This window comes from Homo sapiens, chromosome 4, assembly GCF_000001405.40.
Source record: "Homo sapiens chromosome 4, GRCh38.p14 Primary Assembly".
NCBI classification, from domain to species: Eukaryota; Metazoa; Chordata; class Mammalia; order Primates; family Hominidae; genus Homo; species Homo sapiens.
The window spans coordinates 129,061,409-129,081,680 of record NC_000004.12 but is presented as its reverse complement, the minus strand read 5'-3'; the positions used below and the strand labels follow the sequence as shown (position 1 = coordinate 129,081,680).

At 37.3% G+C, this 20,272-nt stretch overlaps 1 protein-coding gene across 14 annotated transcripts in view; it reads left to right on the top strand.

The window, feature by feature from the left end:
• SCLT1 (sodium channel and clathrin linker 1) overlaps window positions 1-20,272 on the top strand; it is a 220,299-nt gene that overhangs the window by 11,859 nt on the left and 188,168 nt on the right. The window contains exon 2 of one of the 14 annotated variants that reach the window (XM_017007719.2): window positions 5,024-5,086. The exons of the other annotated variants lie outside the window; for them this stretch is intronic. The gene's annotated coding sequence lies outside the window, so the exon portion shown is untranslated. The remainder of the gene's footprint in view (window positions 1-5,023; window positions 5,087-20,272) is intronic. 14 annotated transcript variants of the gene reach the window in all.

The following is a 20,272-nucleotide window of genomic DNA, read 5'->3' as shown; positions in this document are numbered from 1 at the left end:
GAGGGGGCCTGGTTGAAGGTGAGTGGATCATGGGTGCAAATTTCCCCCTTGCCCTTCTCGTGATAGTGAGTTCTCATGAGATCTGGTGGTTTAAAGTGTGTAGCACCTCCCCATTCTCTCTCTTCCTCCTGCTCTGGCCATGTAAGACATTCCTGCTTCCCCTTCATCTTCCACCATGATTGAACATTTCCTGAGGCTTCCCAAGCCATGCTTCCTGTATAGCCTGTGTTGGGGAAACCAGCCCCACACCACCTGGCAGGTACCCCGAGTCCAGCGGAGACAAAGGAGTTACAAAGAGACAGAATAAGCGTTTAAAAGGTGGGTCCAGGGGACCAGAGCGTTAGAGCCTTGCTCATGGCCCAGAGCTCTTCGGCTCCACCTAATTTATTGGTTTACAAGCTCTTTGTTCTTAGGGCATATGGGAGGGGTAGGAAGGGATGAGGAAAAGGCTCATGAGGGAGAACTCGTGAGTCATTCAATAAGAAGTATAGCAGTGGCGGTTTCTGTGAATTTCCTTGAGCAAAGGTGTGTGTCTAAACTACTTAAGATCTTTAACTTATTGGGACTGAAATGGGTAGGAGTGGGTTTCAGGAGGAGCCAAGATGTTTGATTATACTCCACTGCTTCAAGGGAGTGTTATCTCCCTGGGCAACCTGTGGAATGCCGCTGAGCTGTTATGCTCTCGGGGCATAAACATATAAAGGCAATAAGGAGACTTTTCTCCTCAGAGGCCGCCCATGGCTTCCCATGGGTGTTTCACACGGGGGAGACCAACTCATCTGGCACCCCAGAAACTCTCTCTCCCACAGACTGCAGAACTATGAGCCAACTAAACCTTTTTTTCTTTATAAATTACCCAGTCTCAGATGTTTCTTTATAGGAGTGTGAGAATGGACTGATATAGAAAATTTGTACCAGTGAATGGGCATTGGTATAAAGATACCTGAAAATGTGGAAGTGACTTTGGAACTGCATAATGGGCAGAGGTTGGAACAGTTTGGAGAACCCAGAAGAAGACAGGAAGATGAAGGAAAGTTTGGAACTTCCAAGAGACTTGTTGAATGGTTGTGACCAAAATGCTCATAGTGATACGGATAGTGAAGTCTAGGCTGAGGAGGCCTCAGATGGAGAAGAGGAGCTTACTGGGAACTAGTGTAAAGGTCACTCTTGCCATGTTGTAGAAAGAGACTGGCAGCTTTGTGCCCCTGCTCTAAGGATCTGTGGAACTTTGAACCTGAGAGAGATGATTTAGGGTATTTGGCAGGAAACTTTCCAAGCAAGAAAGCACTCAAGATGTAGCCTGGCTGCTTTTAACAGTGTAAGTTCATATGTGTTTGCAAAGAGATGGTCTGAAACTGGAACTTATATTTAGAAGGGAAGTAGAGCATAATAGTTTGGAAAGTTTACAGCCTGACCATGTGATAGAAAAGAAAAACCCATTTTCTAGGGAGAAATTGAAGCTGGCTGCAGAAATTTGCATAAGTAAAGAGGAGCTGAATGCCCAAGACAATAAAGATGCCTCAAAGGCATTTTGGTGATGTTCACCACAGCCCCTACCATCACAGGCCTGGAGACATAGGAGGGAAGAATGATTTTGTGGGGGCAGGCCCAGGGCCCCACTGCCCTGTACAACCTCAGGACATTGCTCCCTGGTCCCAGCTGCTTCAGCTCCAGCTGTGGCTAAAAGGGCCCCAGATAACATCGCAGTCAACTGCTCCAGAGGGTGGAACCCATAAATCTTGGCAGCTTCCACATGGTATTAAGCCTGTGGGTGCACAGAGGGCAAGAGTTGAGGCCTGGGAGCTTCTGCCTGGATTTCAGAGGATATATGGAAATGCCTGGATGTCCACACAGAAGCCTGCTGCAGGGGCGCAGCCCTCATGGAGAACCTCTGCTAGGGCAGTGCAAAGAGGAAATGTAGGGTTGGAGCCCCCACACAGAATCCACACTGGACACTGCCTAGTGGGGCTGTGAGAAGGGAGCTACCATCCTCCGGACCAAAGAATTGTAGGTCCACCAACAGCTTGCACTATGTGCCTGGAAAAGCCTCAGGCACTCAATGCCAGACTGTGAAAGCAGCTGCAGGGAATGTACCCTGCAGAGCAACAGAGGCAGAGCTGCCCAAGGCTGTGGGAGCCCACCCCTTGCATCAGTGTTGCCTAGATGTGAGACATGGAGTCAAAGGAGATTATTTTGGGCCCCTAAGGTTTAATGACTGCCCTTCTGGGTTTTGGACATGCCCCGCGGCCTGTAGACCCTGTCTTTTGATCAATGTCTCCCTTTTGGAAAGGGAGTATTTACCCAATTCTATACCTTCATTGTATCTTGGAAGTAACTAACTTGTTTTTTATTTCACAGGGTCATAGGCAGAAGGGTCTTGTCTTGTCTCAGATGAGACTTTGGACTGTGGACTTTTGAGTTAATGCTGAAATGAGTTAAGACTTGGGGGACTGTTGAGGAGGGACGATTGTATTTTCCAGTGTGAGGATATGAGATTTGGGAAGGGCCGAGGGTGGAGTGACACACTTTGGATTTGTGTCCCTGCCCAAATCTAATGTCGAATGGTAATCACCAGTGTTGGAGGAGAGCCCTGGTGGGAGGTGATTGTATCATGGGGGTGAATTTTCTCCTTGCTGTTCCCCTGATAGTGAGTGAGTTCTCATGAAATCTGCTTGCTTATAAATGGGTAGTACCTCCCCATTTTCTCTCTTCCTCCTGCTCCAGTCATGTAAGATGTGCCTTCTTTCCCTTCACCTTCTGCATTCTGAAAGTTTCCTGAGGCCTCCCCAGCCAGGCTTCCTGTACAGCCTGTGGAACAATTAGCCAATTAAACCTCTTTTCTTGATAAATCACCCAGTCTTATGTATTTCCTTATAGCAGTGCAAGAATGGACTAATGCAGAACTAAAATTATTTTCAAGGTATTAAAAGTGAAGAGCTTGTTTTTAGTATTAAAAAGGAATAGTTTATTTGGTTGGCTTGAGTACTTATTCTTATAGATATTTTTTAATGTATATTCAATATTTAGCTGACTGCTCTATGCTTTTATTTCCAAAGACCAGATTCAGAGTCCACAGAGTCTTGAAGCTATCCATTCACTATTTGCTGTTATAACCATATTATTTTTATTATAATATATAATTTTTATGCATACTTAATAACTGTAATAATTTAAGTGATAGAGAATCTTTCATATTCCAACAGCCTTTAAGTTTTGCTCAGAATCTTAAGATTTTTGCTTCTGTTTAGTGTCTTGTGGAATAGGCCTGAACAAAAGAGTAAAAAAAAATTTTTATTTTAAAGCCCCAGATGACTCTGGCCACGGTAATGCATCATATCTGTGGAAAGCTATGGTTGACTTGATTATGAAAGATGTTTTTAACAGATAGCATAATGGTGACTCTAGCCTTTCAGATGCACCTGCATTATGCATTGTGATTATACTAATTAAAGCTCAAGAGTAGCAGACCTAGTAGGGACAAATCTTCCTTTACAAGATTGTCCTCTTTGGAAGAATTATAACTGCTTTACTTTTGTGAAGCTAACCATTCTTCTCTTATGTGTACTATTCTTGTTGTCTTGCAACCAAATCTTGATTCCTATCTCTTTAGTGGTAACATACTGTTACTGCCTAAGAGTCCTCTGCCATCCTCCATATCTTCAGAACATGTTGCTGTTTCCAGACTCCCATCCCCATGGACCTTGCTTTTCACTGCATGTTTTGAGGTGAGGAGTAAGAGAGGAGGTGATATGACAGCATGAGGAAATTAATCTGCTTTCTAGCAATAATGCCCATATCCTTGGCCATATGTAATGCATCCCTAGAGGGTTCTTTACCTCATATATTACTTCGGTTTCTGAAAAAATGTTCAAGAGAATTTTTTCTTTTTTTATTTTGTTTTAGTATGTTTTGCAGTAAAGGAAGAAGGAAACCATTATCAATGGGTATGTGGGATCCAGGAGTGCTAGCTCATATATCTTATCACTGTAACTTAGTTGTTGCTACTAGCAACAGAAATCTTTTATAAATTTGTGTTTCCCCTTTTTGTTTAGCCATGTTTCCCAGATGCCTAGAACAGTTCTGGTCAGTAGGCATTTGATAAATATTTGTTGAGTGAATGAAACAACTATGTTCTTCCTCTTTTTCCTTCCCTCCTACCCACTTATCTTCCAACATGATTTCAACTCTTATGTGTCAAATATAGTGAAAGTCATGGAGATGTGAAAAGTCATGGTCAGCTTGGGAAATACAAGTAGTTCTTACTTTTTAGTTTTATTTTTCAAGATAAAGTCCTAAAGTCCTTACATTGGGTGCCATAAAATTGCCAGAAGTTGTGTTAAATGAACATACTTTATTCAGTCTTTTTATGATATTGGAAAAACAAAGCAACAGGAGTTTGATATTTATTTCTTGTATTTTAAGCTGGAACTTCAAACTTGATTGTCTATATAAACTTTGTTAGGTGTAATGGTGAAAATTCTTTAGTGCAGTTATTACATAATGATCATTTAGGCTTGCTTTGGATCAAAGTAAGTTTTCTGAATTGCCTCAAGATAACCATTTTGAAGCTTATTGTTCTTAGGGGACTATGTTACCTTTATGGTAGCTAACTATACTTTACGTAAATTTTGTGGACATAGGCTGAAATTTGAAGTCTTCCAATGTGTTGAATAGCTTATATATTTAATATATTAAATATTTGGCTCATTATACTTTCATAATTCAATCATCTGTTCTCTTCATTACATTTGTATGTAACTTTTAAAAGATATTTTAAATAGCTGGTTTCTTGATTTTTTTCAGGGTTGTAAAATTCAGTTGTCTTTGATTATTTTGTGTTTTCTATATAAGTAAAAAGTATTTCAAGTGGCATTGCTCTCTGAAGTACAGTAGTTGGCACTAGGTGACAAATATTCAAGATTAGAAAAAGATTTGCTTAAGAAGCTTAGTGGAAAATTTCCCTTTTTCCCAGTCCTTTATTCCATTTTTTTTCTTGAATACTTGCTTTTTTTTTCATACCCAGGCTAATTGAATCCTCTTTGTTATCTACGCCACACCGGTATATGTATCTACTGAGGGAGCTAAGGTTAGTGCTTTGGTCTCTTGGTACTTGCTGAAGGGACAGAATGGAATACTAAAAATAAGTTTATTTTCTCTGAAAGCTCACCTAAAAATATTTTCTTCTTCTAGCTTGGGAATTCTTTTTCTACTCATTACCCTTTGTACCCAAAATTAAAACAAATAAATATTGAGATAGTCTGCTGGGGGAAAAAAGGAGATACATAAGGTAGAATAAAAAGAAAGGGAGGAATACATATAAAAGCATAGTGCCAAAGAGGTATGAGTGGCTATGGAGGGGAAAAACATCATAGTCTAAATATATTCACTTATTCAACAAACATTAATATACTCATTCAATGAATTTTGAGTTCATGCCTATGCTAGGTAAGCTCTGGGGACAGGACTATGAATAACATAGACAAAGGATCCCTGTTCTGTAGAAGATATGTGAATGAATGAAAGAGATGTGAAGGAATGAATGAAATAATTAAAATTACAGTATCCTATGAAAGAAGCAGGGTGCTGAGATAGAGATTAATATGTATGTTATTATGGAGGTGGTGGTGGTAGAGACCTATTTTTGATAGAAAGGTCATAGAAGACCTTTCTAAGGTAGTAACATTCCAGCTGGGACAGAAAATGAAGATTGAGCCAAAGAATGGACCAAGAAGGGGCCTTGAGGCAGGGAAGAATTTGACATGTCTTGTACAATGTATAGGAGTTTGTGCCAACTGTCATAAAAAAATAGTTATTTGAAAATTATATTAAAGAAATGGCAAGGCTACTCCTGTTGCTCATGAGTTAACAAATACAAGACTCAACAGATAAAATATAACAATTCACCTGTACTATTTGAGTTGAATCAGATTATTAGCTTTCTAGACCGGCACTGTCCAGTAGATCTTTCTCTGATGATAGAAATGTTATATAATTCTGCACTGTCCAGTATTGTAGCCACTAGTTACATGGGGCTTTTGACCACTTGAAATTAGGCTAATACAACTGAAGAAATGAATGTTTTATTTAATTTTCATATTAAATGAATAAAATTTAGATTTAAATAGTTATATATGCTTGAAGCTTTTGTATTGGCCATTGTAATTCTGGACTCTCTATTGATGAGTTACCCACGTAAAACCTTGAAGGGATGATTTTGCATCATCCCATGATGCTAGGAGATTGATGATTTAACACATTACAGGGAGTTGACTGTAAGTTTATCAGTTACTTATGCTGTTCGTCAACATTTATTGATAAATGATGAAAATTAACCTCCTCATGATATAAACGAAAGGATTAAGAGATTTCCTGCAGTCCTTTAAAATGTACAGGAACATCTTCCCAAAATGCTAGCCAACCTGTACTTTATTTCCTTCCAAAGGATAGAGGAAAAGATGCAATTTACATATTTGGTAGCCAATATTTATTAGAGTGAGAGCCAAAAGTAAACATTCAAAACTGTAATTAGAGTGCTTACAGAGTGTATAATTTTGTTAGAGAAAGAAAAGTATCCAGAGAATTTGCTTACATAACCACAATACAATATTATTGACATTTTTTTCTGTGATACACCATCAGCATTATTTCAGGGAGTCATCTGGAGAGCAAAGATAATTAGAGACCCAGTGTGGTAGCTGATGCCTGTGAACTCAGCATTTTGGGAGGCTGTGGCAGGAGGATCATTGAGACCAGGGGTTTGAGACCAGCCTGAGGAACATAGCAAGACCCCATCTCTATAAAAAGTTAAAAAATTAGCCGGGCATGATGGTGCATGCCTATAGTTCTGGTTACCCAGGAAGCAGAGGTGGGAGGATCTCTTGAGTCCAGAAATTCGAGGCTGGAGTGAGCTATGCTTGCACCATTGCACTCCAGTTTGGGTGATAGAACAAGAACCTGTCTCTAATTTTTAAAAAGATAAATAGAAATTAATTACACAATATCAGTTATTTAAGATTCAAGAAATACACAATTCTTTAAATTATTCCTTTATTTAGTATAGCTTTTTTAAATTTTGTTTTAGAGAAAATGAAAAGAACATTTGTAAATGTTTTTTAGGCAATTTCAGTCTTATTCTCTAAGCATGATTTTTTCTATTACTGCTCGAGTTATTAAGTAATGGAGTTTTTTCTTCTAAAAGTTTCACTAGCAAATGGAAAAGGATTGCTAAATCAACATTTTTATTCTTTCAAAGATTTTCTATCTCTGTTTTGAAATATGCTTATTCTCATCTTACAACTTTTATAATTACTTTGGATTATTAGGTCATTTATTCTTAGGTTCGTATTTTCTTAGCAATTGTTATTAGAAAATAGTTTTTGAACAGTGTTTTCACATAATTCAGCTTAACTAATATTTTCTATCACTACCTTTGTGGAAAGAATTATGCCAAGTGCTTTAGTGATATGAAGTTAAAATAAAATGACCATATTGTAGGAACTTAAAGGCTAATAAAAATATGGAATGAGACAAATATCAAATAACAAGATAAACAGCATATTATTTGTATCTTAAGAACATTAAAAACAAATGTGTGTATTAAGGGTGACAAAAGAAATATAGTTGGAGAGATCAGGAAAAGTTTCTTGAAAATGTAGCATATCTTACGGACATTGAAGAGTAGATGAAATTTCAAACTAACTTGATGAAGACAAAACTAGAGGTGGTTGGGAGTGGTTCAGATGGACCCACTAGCATAAGAAGCCAAAGGAGATGAGAAAATGAGAGTTGTATTTAGGGAATAAAATATATTTCAGTTTATATAATGTATTTGGCATATAGGAGAGAATATGAAAAACATTAGGTTTAGTAAGTTATAGAGAGCTATGAATGATTATGTTGAGGAGTCTGGATTTAATTGAATAAGCATTGGTAGACTGCTAAGTATTTTTAAAAGAATGACTTTCTGAATAATCTGAAAGAAATTCATTTATTCATTGGTCTATAACTAATTTGTTGTGCATCTATAAGTAGTGAGACATTGTGTTAGACTCTGGGAATATGATAGTGAATAAGGCAGGCATTAGTGTGATCTATAAGGTAAATTAAAATGGAGTGAAATGTGATAGGAGTAACAATCAGGAAACCCATATAAATGATGGGTAGATCAATTAGCCCATATATTACTGTTTTATAAAATGTTATTCATCCCCCACCTTCAGTCATAAGAATTTATAAGATTTTGATTTCATAACAATTCCTAAGAAACTTGAGAAGTAATATTTTAAAAGTTTGAACTGTTCAGTCATCCCAAGTAGCTTTTGTAAGTAACTTCTGAACAATTGAAAGTTAAATACAATGGACAGAGTAGCATGCAGAGGCTCACATTGTGAATTTTTGCTCCAGAACGACTACAGGAATAAGTCAGGAAATCCAAGAGGACCCATAGACCCTCTGAAGGAAGCAGATTGCAGGACCCAGGAGACATCCCAAATACCATGGTATGCATGGCTGAGAGACCCACAGATGGTTCACATCACAGGACTTTGTACAGACAATCCCCAGTACAAGCCCAGAGCCTAGTAGACTTGCTGGGTGGCTAGATCCAGAAGAGAGATAGCAATCACTACAGATAGACTCTCAGGAAACCACATCCATAGAAAAAGGGGCAGAGTGTTACATCAAGGGAACACCCCAAGGGACAAAAGAATCTGAACAACAGTTTTCAGCCCTAGACCTTTCCTCTGATAGAGCCTACCTAAATGAGAAGGAACCAGAACACCAACCCTGATAATATGACAAAACAAGGCTCTTCAGCACCCCCCAAGAATCACACTAGTTCACCAGGAATGGCTCCAAACCAAGAATAAATCCCTGATTTACCTGAATAAGAATTCAGGAGTTTAGTTATTAAGCTAATCAGGGAGGGACAAGAAAAGGCGAAGCCCCGTGCAAGAAAATCCAAAAAATGAGACAAGAAGTGAAGGGAGAAATATTCAAGGAAATAGATAGCTTGAAGAAAAAAACAATAAAAAATTCGGGAGACTTTGGACACACTTTTAGAAATGCAAAATGCTCTGGAAAACCTCAGCAATAGAATTGAACAAGTAGAAGAAAGAAATTCAGAGCTCAAAGACAAGGTCTTCGAATTAACCCAATCCAACAAAGACAAAAAAGAATAAGAAAATATGAACAAAGCCTCCAAGAAGTCTGGAATTATGTTAAACAACTAAACTTAAGAATAATTGGTGTTCCTGAGGAAGAAGAGAATTCTAAAAGCTTGGAAATATTTGGGGGAATAATTGAGGAAAACTTCCTTGGCCTTGCTAGAGTCCTAGACATCCAAATACAAGAAGCACAAAGAACATCTGGGAAATTCATCGCAAAAAGATCTTTGCCTAGGACATTGTCATCAGGTTATCCAAAGTTAAGATGAAGCAAAAAATCTTAAGACCTGTGAGACAAAATCACCAGGTAACCTATAAAGGAAAACCTGTTATATTAGCAGCAGATCTCTCAGTAGACAAGCTGGAAGGGATTAGGGCACTATCTTCAGCCTCTTCGGACAAAACAATTATCAGCCAAGATTTTATATCTAGCTAAACTAAGCATCATATCAAGGAAAGATACAGTCATTTTCAGGCAAACAAATGCTGAGCAAATTCACCATTACCAAGCCACCACTACAAGAACGGCTAAAAGGAGCTCCAAATCTTAGAACCAAAACTTGGAAGCACATCAAAACAGAACCTCTTTAAAGCATAAATCACACAGGACCTATAAAACAAAAATATAAGCTAAAAAAGCAAAAACAAAAAAACCAAAGTACACTGGCAACAGAGAGCATGGTGAATGCAACAGTACCTCACATTTCAATACTAACACTGAATGTAAATGGCCTAAATGCTCCACTTAAAAGATACAAAACTGCAGAATGGATAACAACTCACCAACCAACTATCTGCTGCCTTCAGGAGGCTCACCTAAAACATAAGGACTCACATAAACTTAAAGTGAAGGGGTGGAAAAATAATTTCATGCAAATGGGCACCAAAAGCGAGCAGGAGTAGTCATTCTTATATCAGACAAAACAAAAAACAAAAAACAAAAAAAACTTTAAAGCAACAGCAGTTAAAAGAGACAAAGAGGGACATTATATGATGGGTAAAAGGCCTTATCCAACAGGAAGATATCACAATCTTAAACATAAATGCACCTAACACTGGAGCTTCCGAATTTATATAACAATTACCAATAGACCTAACAAGTGAGATAGACAGCAACACATTAATAGTTGGAGACTTCAATACTCCACTGACAGCCTTAGGCAGGGCATCAAGACTGAAAGTCAACAAAGAAACAAGGGATTTAAACTATACCTTGGAACAAATGGACTTAACAGATATATACAGAACATTCCATCCAACAACCACAGAATACACATTCTGTTCAACAGTGAATAGAACTTTCTCCAAGATGGACCATACAATAGACCATAAAATGGGCCTCAATAAATTGAAGAAAATTGAAATTATGTCAAGCACTCTCTCAGACCACAGTGGCATAAAACTGGAAATTGACTCCAAAAAGAACCTTCAAAACCATGCAAATACATGGAAATTAAGTAAGCCTGCTCTTGACTGAGCATTGGGTCAAAAACGAAATCAAGATAGAAATTTAAAAATTCTTCTAACTGAATGACAGTAATGACACAACCTACCAAACCTGTGGGATACAGCAAAGGCAGTGCTAAGAGGGGAAAGTTCATAGCTCTAAACACATACATCAAAAAGACTGAAAGAGCACAAACTGACATTCCAAGGTCACACCTCAAGGGACTAGAGACACAAGAACAAACTAAACCCAAACCCAGCAGAACAAAGGAAATAACCAAGATTAGAGCAGAATTAAGTGAAATTGAAACAAACAAGCAAGCAAACAAACAAAAAACCCAAAAGATAAATAAAACAAAAAGCTGGTTCCTTGAAGGGATAAATAAAATTGATAGACCATTAACAAGATTAACCAAGAAAAGAAGGGAGAAAATCCAATAACCTCACTAAGAAATGAAACGCGAGGTATTACAACTGTCACCACTGAAATACAAAAGATCATTTAAGTCTACTATGAACACCTTTATGCACATAAACTAGAAAACCTAGAAGAGATGGATAAATTCCTGCAAAAATACAACCCTCCTAGATTAAATCAGAAAGAATTAGATTACCTGAACAGATTGATAACAAGCAGCGAGATTGAAGTGGTAATTAGAAAATTACCAACAAAAAAAAAAGTCCAGGACCAGATGGATTCACAGCAGAATTCTACCACACATTCAAAGAAGAATTGGTGCCAATACTTTTGATACTATTCCCCAAGATAGAGAAAGAAAGAACCCTCCCTAATTCATTCTGTGAAGCCAGCATCACACTATTATCAAAACCAAGAAAGGACATATCCAAAAAAGAAAACTACAGACCAATGTCCTTGATAAACATAGATACTAAAATCCTTAACAAAATACTAGCTAACTGTATCCAACAACGTAGCGAGAAGATAATCCACTATGATTAAGTGGGTTTTAGAGCAGGGCTGCAGGGATGGTTTAACATATGCAAGTCAATACGTGTGATACTCAACATAAACAGAATTAAAAACAGAAGAATCACATGATCATCTCAATAGATGCAGAAAAAGCATTCAACAAAGTCTGGCACCCCTTTAGGATTAAAACTCTCAACAAAATTGGCATACAAGGGACATACCTCAACATAATAAAAGCCATCTATGACAAACCCACAGCCAACTAATACTGAATGGGGAAAAGTGGAAAGCATTCTCTCTGAGAACTGGAACAAGACGAGGATGCCCACTCTTACCACTCCTCTTCAACATCATACTGGAAGCCCTAGCCAGAGCGATCAGACAAGAGAAAGAAATAAAGGGCATCCAGATTGGCAAAGAGGAAGTGAAACTGTCACTGTTTGCTGATGATATGATCATTTACCTTGAAAACCCTAAGGACTCCTCCAGAAAGCTTCTAGAACTGATAAAAGAATTCAGCAAAGTTTCCAGATACAAGATTAATGTGCACAAATCAGTAGCCCTTCTATACAGCAACCAAGCAGAGAATCAAATCAAGAACTTGACCCCTTTTACAAAGCTGCAAAAATAAATAAAATGCTTAGGAATATACCTAACAAAGTAGTCAAAGTACAAGGAAAACTATGAAACACTGCTGAAAGAAATCATAGATGACACAAACAGAAACACATCTCATACTCATGGATGGTAGAATCAACATTGTGAAAATGACCATATTTCCAAAAGCAATCTACAGATTCCATGCAATTCCCATCAAAATACCATTATTCTTCACAGAATTAGAAAAAACAATTCTAAAATTCATATGGAACTAAAAGAGAGCCTGCATAGCCAAAGCAGGACTAAGCAAAAAGAACAAATCTGGAGGCATCATACTACCTGATTTCAAACTATACTCTAAGGCCATAGCTACCAAAACAGCATGGTACTGGTATAAAAATAGGCACATAGACCAATGGAACGGAATAGAGAACCCAAAAATAAACCCAAATACTTAGAGCCAACTGATATTTGACAAAGCAAACAAAAACATCAAGTGGGGAAAGGACTCCCTTTTCAACAAATCGTGCAGGGATAATTGGCTAGCCACATGTAGGAGAATGAAACTAGATCCTCATCTCCCACCTTAAACAAAAATCAACTCAAGATGGATTAAGGACTTAAATCTAAGACCTGAAACTGTAAAAATACTAGAAGATAACATTGGAACAACCCTTCTAGACATTGGCTTAGGCAAGAATTTCATGACCAAGAACCCAAAAGCAAATGCAATTAAAAACAAAGATAAATAGCTGGGATCTAATTAAACTAAAGGGCTTTTGTACTGCAAAGGAACAGTCAGCAGAGTAAACAGACAATCCACAGAGTGGGAGAAAATCTTCACAATCTATGCATCTGACAAAGGACTAATACCCAGAATCTACAACAAACTCAAACAAATGGGCAAGAAAAGAACAAATAATCCCATCAAAAAGTAGGCCAAGGACCTGAATAGACAATTCTCAATAGAAGATATACAAATGGCCAACAAACATATACATATAGACAAATTCTCAAAAGAAGATATACAGATGGCCAACAAACATATGAAAAAGTGCTCAACATTACTAATGATCATGGAAATGCAAAACAAAACCACAACGTGATACCACCTTACTCCTGCAAGAATGGCCATTATCAAAAAATCAAAAAACAGTAGATGTTGGCGTGGATGCAGTGAACAGGGAACACTTCTACACTGCTGGTAGGAATGTAAACTAGCACAACCACTGTGGAAATCAGTGTGGAGATTCCTTAAAGAACTAAAAGTAGGACTACCATTTGATCCAGCAATCCTACTACTGATATATACACACACACACACATACATATATATGTGATGGAATACTACTTATCCTTGAAAAGGAATGAATTAATGGCATTTGCAGCAACCTGGATGAGATTGGAGACAATTATTCTAAGTGAAGTAATTCAGGAATGGGAAACCAAACATTGTATGTTCTGACTCATAATTGGAAGCTAAGCTATGAAGATGTAAAGCATAAGGATGACACAATGGACTTTGGGGACTCAGGTGGAAAGGGTGGCAAGGAGGTGAGGGATGAAAGACAAATTGGGTGCAGTGTATACTGCTCGGGTGTTGGGTGCACCAAAATGTCACAAATCATCACTAAAGAACTTACCCATGTAACCAAACACCACCTGTTCCCCAGCAACCTGTAGAAATAACATTTAAAAAAAAAAAAAAAAGTTAAAATATTACTTCTTTGCCAGGCATGGTGGCTCACGCCTGTAATCCCAGCACTTAGGGAGGCCAAGGCAGGTGGATCGCTTGAGGTCAGGAGTTTAAGGCCAGCCTGGCCAACATGGTGAAACCCCATCTCTACTAAAAATAACAAAAATTAGCCAGGTATGGTGGTATGCACCTGTTATCCCAGCTACTTGGGAGGCTGAGTCAGGAGAATCACTTGAACCAGGGAGGTGGCTGTTGCAGTAAGCTGAGATCATTCCATGGCACTCCAGCGTGAGTGACAGAGCCAGACTCTATCTCAAAAAACAAATAAAACTTCTTAATCTTTTTAAAGTATAAACTATTGTTAGTAGTCTAGGATAAATCAGTTTTTGAAATTATGTAGGCTACTAGATGCATTTATTATTTTGTTCACCAAGAGGTACTATGGAAGATTGCCTTTTCATTTTACCTAATTCATATTGCAGTTCTCCTGGAACCATGTGAACATATCATTTAAAATTTTGCATTTCAAGAGTTAATCCTTCCCATGTTGGTAAAATGCTTATAATATATACATTGGGTTAGCCAATGATTTGTTTTTTTTTTTCTCATGTTTAGAAAAAAACAAAAGATAATGAGCCAAGATTTATTAAGATTTATTAAGTGTTTTCTATGTCAGGAATTAGGTTAAACACTTTATATATCTTATTCTTTATTTTGAAAAATTTATATACCTCAAGCATACATCAAAATATAGAAGATAAAACTAATACCTGTGTACCTACCACCCAATTGTGTCAGTTCTTAACTTTTTGCCATATTTGTTTCAGATTTTGTTATGTTTCATGTTTTATTTTTGTTAAGAAATTAAATATCGCAGAAATAAATGAATCTCTGTATGCACTTATTTCCTCACCTGTTTCCTTCTGTCCCTTCCCAGTGGTAATTACTATCCTTAACTTAGTGTTTTTCAATACTATTCATGCTTTAATACTTTATATGATTATACCTGAAATTACTTTATAGTGCCATTTGTCACATTTTTAAACTAATAAGTGATGATAGCATGCTGTATGTATCCTGCAAAAGCTATTATGTGCTCAACATTATTTTTAATATTTGAAATATATTTTACCAGTTTATGTACTGTAACTATTGCTACATTCCATTGTATTACTATACCAAAATGTATCCATTCTCTTGACAAAGAAATTTAGATTTTGTCTAATTCTTTAATTTTGCGATAATGTTTCAGTACAGTCTTGAACATGTCTCCATATATACATCTGAGATTTTTTTTAGTATGTCTACCTAAAATTGGCGTTATCTTAAGATTTACTAGAATTGCTGGAGGTGGTTGCAATAATTTTCATTCTAATTCATGGTCTATAAGAGTGTTCATTGTGAAACAACCTTTTAACATTTGGTAGTAATGTCAAATATTTTGTTTTGTCAGTTTGACTTGTGTGAAATAACATCTCACTTTTGTTTTTATTTGTATTTCTCTAATTATTGGTGAGATTATTCTTGCTTTTATTTGTTATTGATCTCAGATTTCCTCTGTTATATTTTTTCTAATAATACCCTTTGGTCATTAAAACATAGTAAACTTTAAATTGTGGGCTTTCATTTATCTGGTTTATATGTTTTCTAATAGAAAAATTTTAACTTTTAATACAGTTAAATGTATATGTTTTTCTGCTGTGAATTTTATTACTGTGTCTTAAGAAGTTCCTCACTAGCATATATGAGCCTCTCACATTTAAGTCTTTATTCAGTCTGGAATTTATTATTGTGGATTGTTTAGGACAGGGCTCTGTTTTTTTTCTCTGTATAATAACCATTGCTTCCAGCATTTATTATTTGATGTTTTCCCTACTGACTTATCTATATCAAGTTTGCATATATGCATAGCTTGTTCAGTGTCTGGTTACTCTAATTTTGTCTGTTGCTATTTTGTGTTTCCCTCCCAGAATAATAGGGTTTAGTCACTACAACTGGAAAGAAAATAAATTGTTGTGAAATTGCTAATTTAGAATTCACACTTGAAATACTTTGATATTCTATGAGTCAAACTTAAACTTAGTACACTCTTGCAGGATATTGGTGCTTTGAGCCTTTTACTTATTTCCTGATTACAATAAATTACATTATATAAATAAATTACAACGCATTTATTTATTGTAATTTAGAGTTTAGCAAACTATAGCCCACTGGCCAAATCCCACACGCTATGTGTTTCATTAGATAGAGATTTATTGGAACACAGCTATAGTCATTTGTTTATATATTGTCTATGACTCCATTTGTGCTACAGCAACAGGCTTGAATAGTTGGAACAAAAACCATGTTATTGACAAAGTCAAATATTTATGGTCAGGCCCTTTACAAAAAAGCTTTGCCAACTCTTGTTCTCTGTTTTATTATGAACATTAATTATATTAAATGTGAATAAATTAAACATTCTAAGTACTTAAAGTGCACACGCATACACACACACAAAACCAACTATGTGAACAACAATGTGGTTCAAAATGAAAAGGATAGAAAAAGTTACACCATGAAAATATTAATTAAAAGAAAGCAAACATAGGCCTAGTGATATGAAATGAAATAGATTTAACTAAGAAATATTACTATAGATAAATAAGTGAAGGAGTTAAATCCGTGGTAAATTTTGATACTTCTATACCCAACTTCAAGCTTCAAAATGTACAAAAGAAAAAAGTGACAAAACTAAAAGTAAAAAAGAAGCAAATATACACTTTTAAGGGAGAATTCTTTCACCATGGAGAATAAGCAAGAATAAGCAAAGAAAAAAATAAAAGGTTCTAAACAGCACAGTTGACAAAATTCCCCTAAATGACTTATGTAGAACACTGAACTCAACAAAAATAGAGTACATGTTATTTTACAGTGCATATGGAGCAGTTGCCAAAATTGACCATATGCTGAGTCATAAATTTCAACAAATTTTAAGGGTTTCAAATTACTTATAATTTGTTTTCTGACCACAGTGGCATTTAGCTATAAAGCAACAACAAAAAGTTAACCAGAAAATCCTCTGTTGCTTTGAAATTTAACAGTATGCTTCTAATGGCTTACTAGTCAAAGGAAATTTCTAAATTAAGCTAGAAAATAGTTTGAACTTAGAATACTAAAAATTAGACACATAAAAATTGTAGGATGGACATCTAATTTCAGGAATATAGTGTAAATGTACTTTTCCTTATTCCTCTAACTGTGTACATCTAAAAGCATTGAACATTATATGTAAAACAAAAATACAATGCTGAAAGCTAGAAAGAAGGCAAGCAGACTATAATCTCAATGAAAATCTCAAAACTTATACGAAAATGAACTTGAAATGGCTCATAGAATTAAACTGGAGATGTGAATCTATACAATTTTTGAGGGTCAGTTGCAGATACTCTTCAGAATCTAGAGCTAGAAAAAGAATTTTTGATATCACAAGCATGGTCCATAAAAGGAAAAAGCAAGGTCCATAAATTGAAATTTTGAACTTTACTAATGTTAAAAACTTTGGCTCTGTTACAGGAGGATGAATAAACATACCACAGACTGACAGAAAAATTTGCAAACCATATATATGACTGGTTATTACTATCTTAAATTTATATAGAACTCTTAAAATTCAACAGTTTAACAAACAAGAAAAAACAAAACCAACTATTCAATTAGAAAATAGGTGAAAGAGAGCTAGATAAAAGAATAAGTGTTATCTACTGTCATCTCCCCACAGTGCACCAATTTTGACAACCACCCTTTCTAGGAGTTTAAAGGCTAGAGAAGTTCCAGAATACTATTGGAAAATAGACACATTGAAGAATGTAAGAACAATTTCAGTTCACCTGCATCACTCCTGCCCCAAGATGGCACAGCTCGGTTCCAAGAGAGATTCCCTCAACCTGTGATTCTTCCCACAGAGGGAAGTGAGAGCATAGTGAGTAAGCTCCTGGCTTTTCTACCTGTGCAGGACACTCGAAAAGACCCACCTCTTTTTGACTCACCCAGAATAATGGGATCAGCCTGGCTAAGTGTCTAGGAGAGACTAGGAGCAGGGAGAACAGGGAGGGACTCACAGTCAGGGCTTGAAACTCAAGAAAGGGCTGTGTATCCTACTAACCACTTTGCAGACTCTATCAGCAGACCCACTCATAAGCTGCTTGGGATGCCTAACCTGTGGTGTACCACCACACCAGCTGGCCCACAGGTGATTCCAACTCTTCATATGCATTACTGCCCTCCTTCCCCATGGCTGGCTGTCATGTGCACCCCCTAGATGGGGAATGCAAGCACAGTCAGCTGGCACAACTCTTTGGGATTTAGAGAATGCACACAAACTTGAGCATTTCAGGGCACTACCCCCACAAAAAAAACATGGGATATTCTCAACACCCAGCCTAGTTTAATGGGATCCAAAGAAAGCATATAGTCTTAGGAATTCTCCCTAAACGGTAATGGCTGAAGGTATGGAGTGGGTACATCTATTGAAAATGTCTAAGAGAAGCTTGGTGAAGCTGTTTGTTTCCCAAAGCCAGTCAGTAAAGACCGCAGGAGGTGACTGCTTCATATGTTAAGATGGCAACGTAAGACTGATTCAGATGTTAAGATAGCAACGTAATACAGTTAATGAAATGAAAAGTGCAATAGAGAGCTTTAGCATTACACTTGATCAATTAGAAGAAATAATCTGTGAACTTGAAAGCAGGTCATTTGAAATTACCCAGTCAGACAAGAAAAAAAGAAGATTGAAAAGTAATTAAGAAAGCTTAAGATATTTATGAGACATTGTCAAAAGAAGTGATACACAGATTGTGAGAGTCTCAGAAGGAGGAGAGAGAAAAAAAGAAGCACAAAGCTTAAAGAAATGATGTCTGAAAAATTCCCAAATCTTGGGAGACGTCTGGACGTCAGACATAAGACCCAAGGGTTCCCAAACAGATTCACCCAAAGATGACTTTACTCAGGCACATTATAATCAAATTGTCAAAAATCAAAGACAGTTAATTCTAAAAGCAGCAAGAGAAAAGGACTTATAACATACAAAGGAACTTCCGTAGGCAATCAATGGATTTCTCAACAGATACCTTACAGATCAGGAGACAGTGGGATGGTATATTGAAAGTACTGATAGAAAAAAAAAGTCAACCAAGAATGCTTTACCCAACAAGACTACCCTTCAGAAATGTAGGAGAGATAAAGCTTTTCCTAGACAAGCAAAAGCTGAGGGAGTTCATCACCACTAGCCCCAATTTACAAAAGATGCTAAAGAGTTCTTGAAGCTGAAGCAAAGTGATACTACTTATTAAAATATTGAAACATGAAACTATCAACTCATTGATAAAAGTAAGTTTATAGTCAAGAATATTCTGACACTGTAATGGTGGTGTATAAATCACTTTTACCTCTTCTACAAAGGTTAAAAGAGAAAAAGTGACATCTGCAAGATAGCCAAGTAGAAGACTCTAGCAATTGTTCCCCTCACAAAGATAGCCAGAACAACATATAACTTCATTTTAACAAAAATAACCGAGAGTGAGTGCCAGAGTGCATCAGAGGAGTAACAGAAACCCAAGTGGGCACAGAAACTCAAAATGGCCATGTAGAAAATGGAAGGAAATGACGGGCTTCCATTACACCAACCCCCAACTGGGACCAGCTAGGAACAAGGAGGAATTTCTCTCTACTTGGGAAAGGTAAGCAGGAGGATCTCAGCAGCCTGCATTAACTCCTTGGACCTTGCCACTGGGGTCCCCTGCATTAACTCCTACGGACCTCGCCACTGGGGTGGCTGCGAGTTAATGCAGCCTGCATTAACTCCTACAGACCTCGCCACTGGGGTCCCCTGCAATCCTCAAAGTCACTAAGCTTATCTGAGGGAGCAACCTAGAGTCCACATAACCAGGAACTAACACTGTACCCTGACACCTGAGGCTTATGCAACTAGTGTGCTATGCACTGTGGAATTGAAATTGCAATTGGAGTGTGCCTTGCTCTGGGGGCAAGTAGCTCCCCTTCATTAACTGAGGCTAAGCAGCTTTTCAGCCACCTCATCTCAGTGGTTCAGCATCTCAAGACTGAGCTGTGAGAAACTGTTACACCCTTCCCTGTGGGCCAGGCAGAGGTGGAACTACTCTACCTTCCCCTCACCCCATCCACGCCCCCACCACCAGACTGGACCCAAAGTGGTACCCTGTCTCCTATGAGAACAGCACCTTAGCCACTCAGAGCAATCACATCTCCTCAATGCCTCAATTTGAAGCAGCATCCCACATTCTAGCAAAATGGTGTTTAGACCACTCAGAATGCTCATTGTCCCCAGGATTGATCTGAAGTATGCTATCACCTTCTGGGAAATTGCTGCCCTGTCAGACCTGAGTTGCTTATCCCAAGGAAACATCAGTGACTAAGCTG